The 19,594-nt window shown below is 39.4% G+C and overlaps 1 long non-coding RNA gene and 1 pseudogene across 1 annotated transcript in view; both read right to left on the bottom strand.

The window, feature by feature from the left end:
- Positions 1–4,168, bottom strand: part of LOC124902265 (uncharacterized) — a 29,979-nt gene extending 25,811 nt beyond the window's left edge. The window contains exon 1 of the long non-coding RNA XR_007061759.1: positions 3,825–4,168. This is a non-coding gene — a long non-coding RNA (uncharacterized LOC124902265). The remainder of the gene's footprint in view (positions 1–3,824) is intronic.
- On the bottom strand, positions 5,077–6,010 carry OR1H1P (olfactory receptor family 1 subfamily H member 1 pseudogene; annotated as a pseudogene).

Raw genomic sequence — 19,594 nt, 5'->3', positions numbered from 1 at the left:
TATTTTCAAAATTTGTGATATATTACCATATGAAATTACTATTTTTGTAGATCAAAATAGGTGAATGTTGGCAACTTAATATAATTGAAGCTAACAATTACATAGTTTTGGTCAGTTGTTTAAACTGACCAAATTGGTGCCAATTAGTAATAATTGTGATAATAACTCAATGTAGATGATTTTTCATAATTATTTTAACACAAAATTTTGTGGTCATAAGAAATAAAAAAACTTTTATTTTTTATTGTGAAAAGTAATATAGGTGATTATAAGAGACTTTCCAGCATAAACATTTATTACAACAGGATAAAATTTGTATAGGAGAAGAATGGAAATACATGTTTAAATGGAGAAGGAATAATGTAAAACATACACATTTTCAGGATGACTTTGTTCTTGCATTTTAAAAATGAATGATGTGATTATCAAATCACTCTGTGTTTAGATGTCATTGGGTACATTTTAAGAAATAATGTAAAGTTTTGTTTTAAAAGTACAATACTCCATGTATTATATACTTATAGCTATTTAAACATCAAATGGATAATTTTATATGCCTCTTTTTAAAAGCGCATGGGTCTTAATAAAAAAGCATATATAAGCAAAAACTATAAATCATTGAAAACTATAAACTCATTGATTGAGAACTTGACCCAACTTCTCAATCAATGTTCAGTCTCTTTTTATAGGATCCTGGGGAAATAATCATCCTTTCTCCTTTTGAACGCTTTTAGTGGCAGGAAGCTCTAGTTGTCAGATTTTTTTTTTTTTTTTTTTTTTTACAGGAGAAGCTAAAGTATAATTGCCTCTCATTTCTGTCTCGCAGAATGAGGTTGGTCCTCTGGGATCTCACACAACAAGCCTGTTATTCTTCACCATGACAGCCCTTGAGAAATCTAAACGTGCAGCACTGTGCAGTGGTTAAAAGCCCAGCCTTCATTTTCTCATCTGTCAAATGGGGATTTTTATAGTTTATTACACTTAAAGTTGTTACAAGGATTAGATGAAAGTACCTGGTTTCTGTAAAGTATTCAGTAAATGTTGGTGATTTTTTCTTTCATTTTTTTTCAGTCTTGTTAAACATAGCGTCTCCAGGTTTTTCTGCCATCCAGGTCTCTACTGTGACACTGTTCACTTTTCCTCTGTCCTTAAAATGTCATTTCCAGAAACTAAGCAATATTCTATGAGTCTGGTTTTTCATCACAGGCTAGTCACAATGATTTCATCTGGTCGTAAATAATAACCAAATAATCTTTTTGAGGTGGAGATCAGAGTTGGCAGTCCACAAATAAAATGTGTTTATGGCTATAAGAATTCTCAGACTGTGCAATTTGGTTGTTGGGAGGAAAAAGTGCCAGCAGTTAAGAACTGTTCCTATGTAAGGCACTTTACACATATCTCAGATAGTCCTTGTAGCAATCTCAGTATGTGTCTAGCTGTGTGTCCTAGTCACAATCACTTATTATCCTTATTTTATATATGAGAATACCAAGGCTTAGGGAAGTGAAGTGATTCACTCAGTATAACTTAGTAGTAAGTGGTAACGACTTCACACTTACGTCTGGATACCTCTAGTGCTCATACGTGCCTGATGGCCCATTTCACTTATTTAGCTTCTTCTTCACAGAATAGAATTTATCATTCCTGGTCTGTCTGCTTTCATGCCTCAAATTAAAGGATGCCACCATGGTACAGCTCAAGAGAACAAACAGTAGGTTTTTCAACTATAAAAGTGTGGCAATTCCTAATATGATATTGAATATCCTGAATTGATTTCAATGTGGCATGATGATGAATGTGAAATAAAAGTGCACATTTACTGAGCACTTACTATATACCAGGAATTATTCTAAGAGCTGTATATATGTTTTTCATGTGATCACAGCAATTCCATGACATAGGTATCAGCTCCACTTTATAAATGAGGAAATTGGGGCTTGAAAGGGTCCTGTGACATGCATAAGGTCACAGATTTAATAAGTGGTAGTAATGAAATTTGGATTCAGCTCTGCCTGACCTCAAAAGCCTATGCTCTCAACCATGGGGCTATGCTACTTCTTAAGTTTTCTCTCGCTATTCTAGTTTCTATTTTCCTCTTTGTTTCCTTCTTTTCTACTGTGCTATCCTGTGCATTGGACAATGATAAGTACCTATCATTTTTTTGTTTAATTCTCATTATAAAACTAAGCATAGATATTATTATTCCCATACTGAGATCATGAAAACCGAGGACCAGGGAGACTAATTAACTTTCTCAAGGTCAAATAGAGTAGAGTTGGATCCAGCTTGATCTTCAATCTGTCTAACTCGGAAGCAATGCTCTTCCTCTCTGACCTCACCGATTTAACACCCACGTTCCATTCCTTCCCTGTGCTGGTCTTCTCTTATCAATGTGGCATTGTAATTGGATTCTTCAAATGAAGATTCATATCTCTAGCCTGCAGGGCTGGGCATCAGGTGGCCCTGAGTTTATGGTTTGGGAAACGTAAGATTAATCCTTCTTTCCAGATCTTGGGAAAGGCCTATGAGTGGACTGAGCTCTACTTGACAGTCGGTAGCCTGTGCCCAGATGCTACCTGGGCAATATCTATGTAGCTCTTGTGACACAGCTACCCAAGAGGCTAGAGAGAGTCCCAGAAGTGGATGGTGGGGAGCTGCCTAGAAACTTAAGAGTCCTCCTTGTCTTCCTCATGGCTGGCAGAAATCATCTTGCCTGACCTATAGTGCAGCGTATGAGCCCCTTATGGCAGAGGGGAGGAGCGTGGTGTGGACAAGGAGGCAGGAGACTAAGAATAGGGAACTCCTAGAGGAGAACATTACTTTATAAAAGGATGTGGATTTTAAAATAAAACAGTAATGTGGTGTGCAGGAATGGAGCTTGACCCAGGAAATTTCCATTTTCTATCTGGGCTTTGGTCCCGGGTCTGCCATGAAAATGTTCTGAAACATTGGGAAAACCACTTCCTTTCTTGGAAGCCTCAGTTTCTTCCTCTGGGGAATGGGAAGAATAATAACTGCTTTCGATGTAGAAGCTTGATATAAAATATCAGAAGAGACTACAGACATGAAGGCCCTTTAAATGTCCCATGAAACAGTGAGAAGTTGTTTATTTTAAATTTCTGTGGGAACCTGGGTTTCCTATCCTTTGCTATCCCAGAATAGCTTTCTATAACTGCCAGCAATCGGATCCGTAAACTGCCCTTTGTAAATAGAGGAGACACTGGGATAACATGACTTAATAAAGTTTCTGAGTTTCTCTGATTCTTAATCCCCAGAAATGGGAAGAAAATCTGGGTCAGTTGTTAAGAGAAGACACACAGTGAAAAACCATTCCAGCGGATGATTTCTGGGCCACCTAACTCTGATTATTCTTAATACCTCCCTGACGGATTGAAAATCTCTGGAATCTATTAGCTATTTTCTCTGATTCAGGGAAAATTTTACTCTTCACTATGTATTAGTGAATAATTTTCAATTATTTCCATTGAAAATAATGGCAAAAACTGCAATTACTTTTGCACCAACCTATAAATCATTCATACTCTTTTGTGGATAGGTTTTGATAAGGGGAAATGGGAGAGTCCATAAAGACACAGAATGTCTGAGGATGGTGTGAGGAGGAGGCATGACGAGGGGAGGAAAAACACAAGACGATTAGGAAGTCAAAGACAAACTTCACAATACTCAATAGTATTGTACAAAGGATCAGTTTTGAGAAAGATGGTCCTCCCTCCAGAAATTACTGAAAGCCTATACAGGAATTGTCGGAGGTGTCCAGAAACTTCTGTGCTCTGGTGTGCAGGCTCCTAAGAGCAGATATTTACCTTTCAGCTGTACTGGCCCTGGCTCTCCCAATCCGCCTCAGGCAGCATCTGTCATCATGTCTTGTTTTGACAGCAGCGTGGAGCTGACCACTCAGCGAAGACAGAGGAAATTTCCAAGAATAGAAGAAAGAAAAGCATCAGGGAGGGGCTGTAGGGGTAGAGCCACCAGACTCCTGGTGGTGCTTCTGCTCTTCAGGGGCAGGAGGACCTGTCTAGGGAAGGTGCTGGCAGCTGATGTTTTATCACATGCTTCTGCATGGATTCCATGGTTCTCACTAGCATGGAGTCCCAAATGTGTCATTGTCCAACCTCACTGACTTCTCTGGGGAGTGAGGCCCATGAGACAGTGCTCCTGGTGTCAGTATTAGGGACTGTGGCTTGGCAGCTCAGCTGATCCCAGGAGAGCAGCCAGGACCTGGGAGATCAGTCTGGACATGGGGTTGACTACATGTGCTCCAAATTTGGCTTTGAGAAGGAAGCCCACAGAAATTTCGATATGGTCAAGGCAGGGAGGGACTGTCTCCCTGCCCTTAGTTCTTTCTTAGAGATGCAGCGTCTTATTTGCTTTTTTTAGTGGTACATACTTATATTTTTAAAAAATTAGCAGTAAGACATATGTTGAATAAAAACTGAGAGTGTTTCTCACCACTCCCTACCTGATTTCTCTCTAGGAGTAATTGCTATTATTGTGACATGTACCCATTTAGACAATTTCTATGCACATATGAACATGCATATATAAAATTTTGTTTTTATAAAAATAGGATCATTTGTTCTGGAGCTTTCTTTGTTTCTCTCATCAATATATCATGGACCTCCTACAGCACTCTCAGACCTACATCATTATTTTTAAGACATTTCAGAGGATATTAGATGTACCACAAGTTCTAAACATTTCCACATTTCCCCCTCATGCCACTTACTGGAATTCCTTTATAACTTGAGCTAATCAAAAATTTAGGCTTTTGTTTTCATTTTATATGCATACAAGTCCCCCACATGCAGGCATTTGGCAAAAACAAACAACAATTCTGAGAGTGGATAATGAACTAGTCAGGGCATGAACATTTTGTGAAGATGATTAAAGATGACTGATATCACTGGTTCTCTCCTCATCCATTTCAAAATGTAAACATGGCAACAATGAAGTCTTGGGCTGAGAGACGCTATAGTGGTTGGGCTCTCAGGAGACTGATCCACTCCCAGCTCTGAGTCTTGGGGTCAGGATCCTAAGGTCTTGAGTAAGGGTGTTAGGATGTTTTTATTCCAAGCAGTTTTCCCAGTGCCCCCTTCATATCCCTGTTCCTCAGGCTGTAGATGAAGGGGTTCAACATGGGAGTCACCACCGTGTACATGACTGAGAAGACTCTGTCCTTTCCATCTGAGTGGGATGATGGAGGACATAAATAGACACCGATAGCTGTGCTATAGAACAGAGAGACTACAGAGAGGTGGGAAGTGCAGCTGGAGAAGGCCCTTTGCTTACCCCTTGGGGAATCAATTCTCAGGATGGCCAATGCAATGTAAAAGTAGGACATAAGGATGCAGACAAAGGGCGCAATCAGCAGTGTTCCTGCCACAAGGATGAGCACCAGATCATTGACACAAGTACTGGAGCAGGCCAGCTTCAGGAGTGGGACCAGATCACAGAAGAAGTGAGGGATAATATTTGGACCACAGAAGGAAAGCCTGGTCACTAGGAGGGTATGCACTAGGGCATGTAAAATAGTGATCACCCATGACACAGCCACCAACAGGACACAGCGTTGGGAGTTCATGGTTAGGGCATAATGGAGAGGATGGCTGATGGCCACATAGCGGTCAAGGGCCATCACAGCCAGGAGAAAGTTGTTGTCCAGATCTGCAAATAGGCCAGAGAAATAGAGTTGTGTCAGACACTCCCCATAAGAAATCAGCTTAATTCCTGAGCTAATATGATCTAGCATATTGGGAATTATTGTAGAGATAAAGCCAATATCCAAAAAGGACAGGTTGGACAGGAAGAGGTACATGGGGGGTGTGGAGGTGCAGGTCAGAGCCAATGGCCAGGATGATTAGCAGGTTCTCCAACACAGTGACCAAGTACATGACCAGGAAAAGCCCAAACAAAAGAGCCTGCTGCTCCTGGTGTTCAGAGAAGCCCATGAGAAGAAATTCATAGATGCAGGTCTGGTTTCTTCTGTCCATGTCTCAAATTCTGTGTGAAATACATTTTGTTATAAGTAGCAAAAGAGTAAAATAATGCTGTGTTAAAAGTACTTCAAACTCCTGTTTGAAAAAATTCTGTGGTTAAATAATTCTGTTTTGAGAAAGCTTGGATTTATTATTGTGCATGTTAAAAAGTTTGGGTCAGACCATTTGTCAAGTTATCGATTGGTGTCAGTATTTGATAAGATATCTAAGGCTCCTTTGAACTATTTCAGCTGTCCATATGATACATATCAGCCACCAGTAAAAGTGTGCCTTGGATTGTACATGTCCTATCTGTTTACACAAGTACTTTTCTCTTAGTAATAATATAATTAAGTAAAAAATGTAAAATACCAGAACAGTGTGTATACGCATAGTTACAGTTAAGTAAAAATGAAACAGAAATATTTGTGTATGAATAAGAACACAATCTAGAAGAACACACTCAAAAGATGGATAATGTTTGCTTCTAGGGAGTGAGTGTGGGGGGAAGAATGGTGGGTGTCAACTTCTGTATGACACACACCATTTCTTTTACTAGCATGTGTTATTTTTGAAAGTAAAAGATTATTTTTAAGTGTGATGGATGTGATGGGTTGAACTAATTTAAATGGTGGTCCAGAAGCCAATATGGAGATTTTGAGAGACCCAGAATTCTGACAAGTTAACCAGGGTGTCATCTCTAAAAAGCAGCTCTGGCAAGTAAGTAGAACAAAAATCAAATCATTTGACTTTGTGCAAAGAAAAAAAATTGAAGTTATGGAGCAAGACTTTTTCATCATAGTCACTTTACTTAGAGTAATATTTTGGCTTTCCCTAAGAAAAGCTACAGGAAATGCATTGAATTCTGCTCCAGTATCCCCAAGCATGCCTGGGAATGACACATGCTTTCCCTAACACCTCTGATATACCTCACTCGCAGGTACTCCTCACTCATAAGATAGGTGCTCCTCACTCACAGGTGCTTCTTGCAGGTGCTCCTCACTCATAGATGCTCCTCACTCATAGGTGCTCCTCACTCACAGATGATCCTTACTCAGAGGTGCTTCTCACTCATAGGATAGGTGCTCCTCACTCATAGGATAGGTGCTCCTCACTCACAGGTGCTCCACATAGGATAGGTGGTCCTCACAGGTGCTCCTCACAGATGCTCCTCACTCAGAGGTGCTCCTCACTCACAGGTGCTTCTCCAGTCAGTTTGGCTTCTCCTGGCCCCTTGGATTTAAAAACCTAAACTTTAGATGGTCTATTCCAGCTCCTGAACCCTTCCTTGCCTTATTATATTTATTTATGAGATTTATATATTTTACATCTAAATAGAAGGTGTCAAATCCTTCATTTGCCCCCAAAGCCACACCTTAATTTGTCTCTAGTGCCGCTCAAAGAATACCTTGATTTGGGACTTGAAATTCCTTTTTTCCCACAGAAGCCATAGTGAGGATATACCAGGATCTCTTAAATAGATAATACTGGACATTAAGTTTATCCAATCCACAGCCCTTGTTCTGACACTATGAAAAAAGTTGGAGTAATAATCATAGCTAATACTGGCTGAGCACTAGCCATTGCCAGGTTCTGAATTCACTTAAGTGATAGCCCTGTGCACCAGCACTGTGAATATCTTTATTTAAAAATGTAGAAACTGAAGTTCAGGGTGGCGATGCAATTGCTGAAGTCTACAGCAGCAGGTATTGAAGTGAAGTTTGTCTGAGTCAAAAGCTTAAGTTCTAAACCACTGTGCTACACTGCCTTTCAATATTCACCAAGTCATTTTCTGACTCTAGTTCAGTCTCATGCATATTTTCTATAAGGAGGGAATGCACCATCAGGGAATTTAAATATCCATTCAATTTGACAGTTGCAGTTCTCAAAGCAAATGAAGATGTGGATATTTTTGGCTTATGCCTCAATCTTTTGTGAACATGATTGACGTGAGTTAGTCTACTTTGGTCCAATCCAATGTCTGGACAAGATCCAATTTTTACACTTGATTTGTACTCTGAGATGGAGCTATCCTGAAAGCAACAGACTCCTTCCTTCCTGGTATCTGTAGCTCCTCTCCCCCTAATTGCAACCAAGTCCAGATTCAGAAGCTAAGCAGATAGCAGATGTACAGTGATAATTTTTGTCATATTCATTTATTTATATCATCTTTACAGTAAGAGTTAGAAACAAGTAACATTTATTCCAGTTTACACTTTTCTTTCCCAAGGGATACACACCTTCAGGTTGCAAGTTTTTATTAAATAATGAATAAAGGAATTTCATTATTTAATAAAAACATGCAGTCCAATTACATTGACTCCAAATAAAATTTTATTAACATGAATTAATGTTCTCAGAATTATCCAGAAATTCTAAGCAAGTAAACTAATAAAACTTAAAACAATTGACTTTGGGGAAAAGGTATGTCATTCGGTTTCAATTTTATTATGATGATAGATACTGTCACATCCTGGTCAGTGGGTTTAAGCTGAAGGTGTGTCTCACAATCATCTGGGGAGCATTTCATTTTTTTTTTTTTTTTTTTTTGAGATGGAGTTTCGCTCTGTTGCCCAGGCTGGAGTGCAGTGGTGCAATCTCGGCTCACTGCAAACTTTGCCTCCCGAGTTCAAGCAATTCTCTGCCTCAGCCTCCTGAGTAGCTCGGATTACAGGCGCTTTCCACCACGCCCAGCTAATTTTTGTGTTTTTATTAGAGACGGGGTTTCACCATCTTGGCCAGGCTGGTCTTGAACTCCTGGCCTCGTGATCCGCCCGCCTCGGCCTCCCAAAGTGCTGGGATTACAGGCGTGAGCCACCGTGCCCAGCCCGTCTGGGGAGCATTTCTTATCCGCTACTCAAAATCTGAACTCTACTGTATCTATACACTTAAAAACAGTGCATTAGACTCACTTATTTGTTTCTGAAGAGAATATTTAGGTTGAACAGTGTAATGGTAAAAAAAACTTTAGTTTGCACTAAGAAAATCTTAATTAGCCTTCTGCATCAAGCCCAATAATATGGGTTTGAATAATTCATTTATTGTCTCTGAAATCTATTATAGTTTCCCTGCCTGTGAAGAAGGGTAAATGAATCCTTGGTTTCTCTTCTCCTGGCCACTTGGATTTAAAAATCTAAGCTTTAGATGGTCTATTTCAGCTCCTAAACCCTTCTTTGTTCTAAAATGGCCTTATTATATTTGTTAGATTTATATATTCTTAAATACAAACAAGGCATCAAATCTTTCATTTGCCCCCAAAGCTACACCTTAATTTGTCTCTAGCATTGCTCAGAGAAAAGAATACCCTACTTGGGACTTGCATCTATGTTACAGGCTGCTGTAACATAGCCTCTTACTGCCATCAGGAAATTGTTCATGCTATTTCATATCATGACATAATCAGCCCTTCATGATTCTGTCTTCCTCTATCATCCAATGAGAATTCTCCCTCATACCAGGGCACCCCACCTTCTTACCCATGAAGCCACTCACAGTCCCCGAACAACTCATCTTCCTGGCCCCATGATTTGCCATTCCTATTCCCCTTCTTGGGTGCTTCCTCCTCTCCACCAGGCAAGAGGTCAGGTGTCAACTTCTGAGAGTATTTTACATGTTTTCCTGTTGAAGTTCATTGTTTTATGCTCTTGCCCCCCGCAGTCCTTTCTATGGGTCTCTGGTAGAATATTTGACATATTGCTTTATAATTGTCTGCTTATTACCATTAGACTATTTGTCCCTTAGTGCCAGAGACTCATTTTTATTCATCTTGTTTCTTCTTAATATGTACTCGGTAATCATCTATTCAATAAGATAGGAAACAGATCGGTGGTAAAATGATTTTTAAGCTATGACAAAAGTGTATGGTGTAATCATTTAGCTACCGGCATTGCTTTTTACTTACATAGTTAATAAAACAGACTACCCTTAATGAAGATCTTAGATTGCCCAGCATTAGTTTTAGTACATAGAAGGTGTTCAAACTTGTTTGTGAAAAGGAAAAAAAAAGTATTGTTGGATGTTGAATTAGTCTAATCAATCGCATATTTATACAAATACTGAATGCTTGATTTGTTGATCTTTTGCATTTAAACTGAACATTGGTTTGTTTTAATTTAAAAAAGAATGCTGGGAAAATTAATGCTTGGGATTCAGATTTAATATGAACACATCTCCTAGTAGGTCTGAGTCTGCTCCTTTGTGATCCTTCCCAATGCTGATAAATGTTCCCCCAAATCGCTTGTTTTCCTGCATGTGAAAACTCAGGAAACCTGACCTGACATGTTTTGTTCACATGCCAAACCTCTCTCAGGGGTACATGGAAATTTCAGGAAATTATGGTTTCAGGGACTAGGGATATAGATCACAACCTGGTAAAATAGTGCTCTGGATCAAAGCTATCTAGCCACTCTAGCCTTTAGGGACTAAACATGTTAAGCCACCTAATACAACTCCCTTATTTGGTGAATGAGTAAACAGAATCTTAAAGGGCTGCTGAATTCATCCAAGATCAGCACTATGACTGATAGCAACAACAGGGTTCCTGAAACTATTTCCATGGACCATTCTGATTCTCTTGATTGACCAAAAAATGAGAGGTGTGACCAATAACTTACTGTCAGTTCTGGATTGGGCCAAGAAGAGTTCCTCATTTATTCATGCTAAGGTAGAGGTTTCAGTGTTCTGCTTTAGGTTCTCACGTGTCAAGAGTAGAAAAGCTATATTTGAGGATCACATGAAAAGACATCATCTTCCCCTATGTTTAATGCAGAAGGGCCTCCTGGGACACGGAACCCTCTTCTGCTCCAAGGAAGGGGAAATGAGAGCAGCACCATGGATCCTGAATCAGCCAGACTGATTAGAACCCTAGGAAGAGAGGAGTTACCTACATGTAGTTTCTGGCACAATCCCCAGAGCTCCCTGCTGAAAGTGGTAGAGACATCTGGGAATTCCAGTCTCCAACGCATTCATTGTGAGAAAAACCTGTTTTATTGCCAGTCCCAGTCCTCAAACTCTAAATGAACTGCTCTGTTACTTTGTGAAGTTCACTTATCCTCTTTGGACCTCAGTTTCATCAGGTAAATAACTCAGAAAACAAAATATTCTCTCTACAGAAATCTTATAGCTATTTTTGCCATCCTAGAGTGTATGAGCGAACACATGGAACGTTCACGAAGACAGATAATACACTCGGCCACTGAAGGATATGTTTTTATTTTTGTTCATGAAATATATAACAAGAATGATTATATGTTGGGTCATACAAAAGCCTAAAAATCTTCAAAGAATTGTAATAACACCAACATGACATCCTACCTAATCGTGGTTTTAATTTTTATTTCCCCAATAACTAATGATATCGGACTCTTTTCAGGTGCTTATTATTTATATATCTTCTTTTTATTAATTTGTATACCCATTTTATTAGATTGTCTTTTAATAATTTATAAGAATTTTTAATTCATATGTATTGTATATTAATCCATCAGCTATATGTATTGTGAATATTTTCTCCCAGTCTGTGGCTTAATTCTTATTTTTCTAACATTGTCTTTTGATGGACATAAAATTTTAATTTATATAAAGTCCAATTACCCATTATTTCTTGTTTGGGGATTTCAAGAGACTGTGTCTTGTATGAAATATATTTAACTCAAGATTGTGAAGACATTAGCTAACAATCTTTTTCTAGGAGCTTCAAAACTTTAGCTTTCATGTTTAGGTTTTACTTTAGAAAAAAATGTATTTCAATTAACCAGGTAACTGCGTGTATTAGTCCGTTCTCACATTGTCATAAAGAACTACCTGAAACTGGGTAATTTATGAGGCAAAGAGGTTTAATTGGCTCGCTGTTCTGTAGGCTGTACAGGAAGCATGGCTGGAGAGGCCTCAGGAAACTTACAATCATGGTGGAAGGTGAAGGGGAAGTACATCTTCACATGGCCAGCAGGATAGATAACAAAGGGGGAAGGGCTACACACTTTTGAACAACCAAATCTTGTGAGAAGTCGCTCACTACCATGAGAATAGCAAGGGGGAAACCCACCCCTGTGATCCAATCACCTCCCACCGATCCCTCCCCCAACACTGGGGATCACAATTCAACATGAGATTTGGGTGGAAACACAGAGCCAAACCATATCTCTGTGGGTTTGTCTAAACTTTATTTAATCTTTAATTAATCTATTTTCTATCTTCATATAAACACAGTACTATCTTGCATGCTACAAATTTATAGTAAATTTAAAATTGCTTATTATCTTTTTAATGTTTTTATTATCTTTGGTGATATCCTTTGTCATTCCCAAAATTTTGATTTTTGTTTTCTTCTTTTTCTTTGATCAGTCTTGGTAGGAGTTTGTTAATTTTAGTAATCTTTTCAAAAGATCAAATTTTGGTTTGGTCGATTTTTCTGTATTGTGTAACTGCTTGCATTTCATTGCTTTTCACATTTGTTTTTATTGTTTACTTTTTTCTATTTTCTTTCGGAATAAGTTGCTTTTTCCCCCTACCTATTTAATGTTGAAGTAGATACCATTGATTTTTCACCCCTTTTTCTATTGCATGCATTTAGAGCTAGAAATTTTTTTTCACTGTACTAGTCGCATCTCACAAATTTTGATATGTTGTATTTTTGTTACCATCTTTAATATTTTCTAATTTTCATTGATATTTTTTATTTGACTCTCAGGCTGTTTAGAAATGCATGGCATCATTTCCAAATAATTGGTGATTTTCTGATTATTACTAGTATTTTTCTTGCTTAGTTCCATTGTTTTCAAATATCATACTTGGTATTATTTCAATTCTTTGAGGACTTTTAGGCTTTTGTATGACCCAGCATATAGTCATTCTTGTTATATATTTCATGAGCAAAAATAAAAGCATATCCTCCAGTGGTCAAGGGTGTAGTCTGTCTTAATGAATGTTCCAGGTGTGCTTGAAAGAAATGTGTGCTTTGCCGTTCTTGCTTTTAGTGTTCAATAAATGTTGTTGAACCTAAATAACAGTGAGAGAGAGGCTCTTTAAAATGAATGATATTTATTTGGGAATGGGCATTGCAATGAGAATACATGTGCCATAGTAAATGATGTGCATATTCAGGAAGGTAAAAGTTTTTAAAGGAAAGCTGAGAAAAATGAGGATTACTCGATTGTTTGAGATAATTATCCTTGGCTACAGGAATCAATAACAAGGGTGGTGACAGTCTGAGGTGAGACAGGTAGTTGCTGGGCAGATGTTCGCACAGAAGTGTTTTGTGCGTGTGTGTGAGGTTTCAGCGGCCTTTGTGCAGGGTTGTAGTTTCTGCAGTCCTTTGTGATAGTTCTTGTTATGAGGCATTCGTGTGTGAGAACCCTCCCTTTCTGGCCTTCCCTGGCTTCATTTTCCAGGGTTGTTAATACAAGTGATACCATTTTGATTCTGATGACTTTGCCATTAGCCTCTTTTGATGGAGATCGTTCTCCAAAAGCATCACTGATCAGTCATCCTGTTGTTAGGTTTTGACTGCCAGTTGTGACTGGGATAGACCTGTCCCAAGTTGTTGGTCTGGTTACACATTGGAGAGAGTGACTGGTGACAAGAAGTCCATATCAAAATTCTTTTAGCCACATTTGATCAGCAAGTGAGGCCTGGAGTGAGTGGTTTTTAGGCTAAGTCCATTTGTAGTCCACTGTTAAATTCAATTTCGCTTGTTCCATAGGCATTGGCTATCACCAATATTGAATATTGTCAAAATGTTCATATTACCCAAAGCAATCTACAGATTCAGTGTGATCTCTATCAAAATACCAATGACTTTCTTCACAGAAATAGAAAAAACAATCCTAGCTTTTGTATGGATTCGCAAAAGACCCTGAATAACAAAAGCAATCTGAATAAAGCTGGAAACATCACACTATCTGACTTCAAAATATACTACAAAGCTATAGTAACAAAAACAGCATGTTACTGGCATAAAAACAGACATATATAATAAAAAATTATAAGAATAAGAATTGAGAACCCAGAAATAAATCCACATGTTTACAGCCAAATCATTTTGACAAAGATGCCAAGAATATTCATTGGGAAAATTTATTCAATAAATGGTGCTGGGAAAACTAGATATCTATATGCACAAGAATAAAATTGGACCTCCATCTCTCACCATAGACAAAAATCAACTCTAAATGGGTTAAAGATGTAAATATAAGATGTGAAACTATGAATCTACTAGAAAAAAAATTGGGAAAACACTTCAGGACATTGGTCTGGGCAGGGCAGAGATTTTTTGGGTAAGACCTCAAAAGCACAGGCAATAAGAACAAAAAAATAGACAAATGAGATTATATCAAGCTAAATAGTTTCTGTACAACAAAGGAAACAATCAGTAGAATAAAGAAGTTGGCTCAACATCTGAAATTATGTAATGCAATTACTGTAATGCACAATACCAACAGAATAAAAAAAGATCATCTCAATACATGCAGAAAAAGTATTGACAAAATCCATCATTCTTTCAGGATAAAAACACTCAACACACTAAGAACAGAAGGGAGCTTTCTCAACTTGATAAAAGGCATCAAAAAATAACTCACAGCTAACCTCATACTTAGTGGTGAAAGACTGAAAGCTTTCCCCCAGGATTAGGAACAAGACTAGCAGATTCATTCTTGCCACCTCTGTTCAACATTGTTTGTACAGAGATCTGCTGGGGGCACACTCATCTGGGTCATTGGGACAGTCTTCTGGTCTCAGGTCCCTAGCCAGCATTCCCACACAGCCAAGTACCCCCACTTGGGTCTTCCACAGGTTCATCTGGGCTGGAAAGCCATGTCAACCTTGAAGCCCCTCAGGAGACTCATGGCAAGCCTGGGCTTAGAGGATCCTCTAGTGCTGGGATGGCTGAAGTGATTACAGGTTCAGGGAACACAATAGTCATTTTCCTTAGAATCTTTGAAGGTCCTCTGAAGAAAGACAGAAGGAAACAAAGCCAGTCTTTGAAGACTAAAATAAATACCCAGCCCTCACTGCACAGACATTGTTGCCCATCAACAAGCATCAAGAATATTCAGGGAAATACGGCCTCATAAATTTAACAGATTGAAACAATTTTTAAAAATTGAACAGAAATACTGGAGGTGAAAATACGATGAAGGAAATAAAAAATGCAGTAGAGACTCCTATTCAACATACTGTTGGAAGTTCTGGCCAGGGCAATTAGGCAGGAGAAGGAAATAAACGGTATTCAATTAGGAAAAGAGGAAGTCAAATTGTCCCTGTTTGCAGATGACATGATTGTATATTTAGAAAACCCCATTGTCTCAGCCCAAAATCTCCTTAAGCTGATAAGCAACTTCAGCAAAGTCTCAGGATATAAAATCAATGTGCAAAAATCACAAGCATCTTATACATCAATAACAGACTAACAGGAGCCAAATCATGAGTGAACTCCCATTCACAATTGCTTCAAAGAGAATAAAATACCTAGGAATCCAACTTACAAGGGATGTGAAGGACCTCTTCAAGGATAACTATAAACCACTGCTCAACAAAATAAAAGAGGACACAAACAAATGGAAGAACATTCCATGCTCATGGATAGGAAGAATCAATATCGTGAAAATGACCATAGTACCCAAGGTAATTTATAGATTCAATGCCATCCCCATCAAGCTACCAATGACTTTCTTCACAGAATTGGAAGAAACGACTTTAAAGTTCATATGGAAACAAAAAAGAGCCTGCATTGCCAAGACAATCCTAAGCCAAAAGAACAAAGCTGGAGGCATCACGCTACCTGACTTCAAACTATACTACAAGGCTACAGTAACCAAAACAGCATGGTACTGCTACCAAAACAGAGATATAGACCAATGGAACAGAAACAGAGACCTCATAAATAATACCACACATCTACAACCATCTGATCTTTGACAAACCTGACAAAAACAAGCAATGGGGAAAGGATTCCCTATTTAACAAATGGTACTGGGAAAACTGGCTAGCCATATGTAGAAAGCTGAAACTGGATCCCTTCCTTACACCTTATACAAAAATTAATTCAAGACGAATTAAACACTTACATGTTAGACCTGAAACCATAAAAACCCTAGAAGAAAACCTATGTGATACCATTCAGGACATAGGCATGGGCAAGGACTTCATGTCTAAAACACCAAAAGCAATGGCAACAAAAGCCAAAATTGACAAATGGGATCTAATTAAACTAAAGAGCTTCTGCACAGCAAAAGAAACTACCATCAGAGTGAACAGGCAACCTACAAAATGGGAGAAAATTTTTGCAATCTACTCATCTGACAAAGGGCTAATAACGAGAATCTACAAAGAACTCCAACAAATTTACAAGAAAAAAACAAACAACCCCATCAAAAAGTGGGCAAAGGATATGAACAGACACTTCTCAAAAGAAGACATTTATGCAGCCAAAAGACACATGAAAAAATGCTCATCATCACTGGCCATCAGAGAAATGCAAATCAAAACCACAATGAGGTACCATCTCACACCAGTTAGAATGGCAATCATTAAAAAGTCAGGAAACAACAGGTGCTGGAGAGGATGTGGAGAAATAGGAATACTTTTACACTGTTGGTGGGACTGTAGACTAGTTCAACCATTGTGGAAGACAGTGTGGCAATTCCTCAAGGATCTAGAACTAGAAATACCATTTGACCCAGCCATCCCATTACTGGGTATATAGCCAAAGGATTATAAATCATGCTGCTATAAAGACACATGTACATGTATGTTCACTGCGGCACTATTCACAATAGCAAAGACTTGGAACCAACCCAAGTGTCCATCAGTGATAGACTGGATTAAGAAAATGTGGCACATATACACCATGGAATACTATGCAGCAATAAAAAAGGATGAGTTCATGTCCTTTGTAGGGACATGGATGAAGCTGGAAACCATCATTCTCAGCAAACTATCACAAGGACAAAAAACCAAACACCGCATGTTTTCACTCATAGGTGGGAATTGAACAATGAGAACACTTGGTCACAGGAAGGGGAACATCACACACTGGGGCCTGTTGTGGGGTGGGGGTAGGGGGGGAGGGATAGCATTAGGAGATATACCTAATGTAAATGACAAGTTAATGGGTGCAGCACACGAACATGGCACATGTATAAATATGTAACAAACCTGCATGTTGTGCACATGTACCCTAGAGCTTAAAGTATAATAATTACAAAAAATGCAGTAGAGAGCATCAACAGAAGAACTGATCAAGCAGCAGAAAGAATCAGTGAGCTGGAAAGACAAACTTTTAAAATACACAGTCAGAAGACAAAAAAGACAGAGAATGAAAAAAATGAAGAAAGATTATGGGATCTATGAGGCAACATCAAAATAGCAAATAATTGGGTTATTGAAGTTAAAGAGGAAACTGAGAAGGCAAAGGGGAAGAAAGCTTATTTTAAAAAATAATAACAGAAAATTTTCCAAATCTGAGAAACACATAAATATCCAGGTTCAGGAAGGCCAAATGTCACCAACATATTAAACACAAATGAGGATAATCCAAGACATATTAGAGTCAAACTCTCAAAGGGTAAAGACAAGGAGAGAATACTGAAAACAGTGAGAGAAAAGAAGCAAATCACATATAAGGAAGATCTAATACGTCTGGCAGCAGACTTCTCAGCAGAAACTTTGCAGGCCAGGAAGGACTGGGATGACACGTTAAGAGTGCTGAAGAAGGAGGAGCCAAGATGGCAGAATAGGAACAGCTCTGGTCTACAGCTCCCAGTGTGAGCAAGGCAGAAGATGGGTGATTTCTGCATTTCCATCTGAGGTACCAGGTTCATCTCACTAGGGAGTGCCAGACAGTGGGCGCAGGTCAGTGGGTGCGCGCACCGTGTGCGAGCCGAAGCAGGGCGAGGCATTGCCTCACTCAGGAAGCACAAGGCGTCAGGGAGTTCCCTTTCCTAGTCAAAGAAAGTGGTGACAGATGGCACCTGGAAAATCGGGTCACTCCCACCCGAATACTGCGCTTTTCCGACAGCCTTAAAAAACGGCACACCAGGAGATTATATCCCCCACCTGGCTCAGAGGGTCCTACACCCACGGAGTCTCACTGATTGCTAGCACAGCAGTCTGAGATCAAACTGCAAGGCGGCAGCGAGGCTGGGGGAGGGGCGCCCGCCATTGCCCAGGCTTGATTAGGTAAACAAAGCAGCCGGGAAGCTCGAACTGGGTGGAGCCCACCACAGCTCAAGGAGGCCTGCCTGCCTCTGTAGGCTCCACCTCTGGGGGCAGGGCACAGACAAAGAAAAAGACAGCAGTAACCTCTGCAGACTTAAATGTCCCTGTCTGACAGCTTTGAAGAGAGCAGTGGTTCTCCCAGCACGCAGCTGGAGATCTGAGAACGGGCAGACTGCCTCCTCAAGTGGGTCCCTGACCCCTGACCCCCGAGCAGCCTAACTGGGAGGCACCCCCCAGCAGGGGCAGACTGACACCTCACACAGCCGGGTACTCCAACAGACCTGCAGCTGAGGGTCCTGTCTGTTAGAAGGAAAACTAACAAACAGAAAGGACATCCACACCAAAAACCCATCTGTACATCACCATCATCAAAGACCAAAAGTAGATAAAACCACAAAGATGGGGAAAAAACAGAGCAGAAAAACTGGAAACTCTAAAAATCAGAGTGCCTCTCCTCCTCCAAGGAACGCAGTTCCTTACGAGCAATGGAACAAAGCTGGATGGAGAATGACTTTGACGAGCTGAGAGAAGAAGGCTTTAGATGATCAAACTACTCCAAGCTACAGGAGGAATTCAAAACAAAGGCAAAGAAGTTGAAAACTTTGAAAAAAATTTAGAAGAATGTATAACTAGAATAACCAATACAGAGAAGTGCTTAAAGGAGCTGATGGAGCTGAAAGCCAAGGCTCGAAACTACGTGAAGAATGCAGAAGCCTCAGGAGCCAATGCGATCAACTGGAAGAAAGGGTATCAGTGATGGAAGATGAAATGAATGAAATGAAGCGAGAAGGGAAGTTTAGAGAAAAAAGAATAAAAAGAAATGAACAAAGCCTCCACGAAATATGGGACTATGTGAAAAGACCAAATCTACGTCTGATTGGTGTACCTGAAAGTGACAGGGAGAATGGAACTAAGTTGGAAAACACTCTGCAGGATATTATCCAGGAGAACTTCCCCAATCTAGCAAGGCAGGCCAATATTCAGATTCAGGAAATACAGAGAACGCCACAAAGATACTCCTCGAGAAGAGCAACTCCAAGACACATAATTGTCAGATTCACCAAAGTGGAAATGAAGAAAAAAATGTTAAGGGCAGCCAGAGAGAAAGGTCGGGTTACCCTCAAAGAGAAGCCCATCAGACTAACAGCTGATCTCTCGGCAGAAACTCTACAAGCCAGAAGAGAGTGGGGGCCAATATTCAACATTCTTAAAGAAAATAATTTTCAACCCAGAATTTCATATGCAGCCAAACTAAGCTTCATAAGTGAAGGAGAAATAAAATACTTCACAGACAAGCAAATGATGACAGGTTTTCTCACCACCAGGCCTGCCCTAAAAGAGCTCCTGAAGGAAGCGCTAAACATGGAAAGGAACAACGGGTA

Source organism: Homo sapiens, chromosome 9 (assembly GCF_000001405.40).
Source record: "Homo sapiens chromosome 9, GRCh38.p14 Primary Assembly".
NCBI lineage: Eukaryota > Metazoa > Chordata > Mammalia > Primates > Hominidae > Homo > Homo sapiens.
Note: the sequence above shows the minus strand (reverse complement) of the source record. Positions and strands in the feature narration are given on the sequence as shown.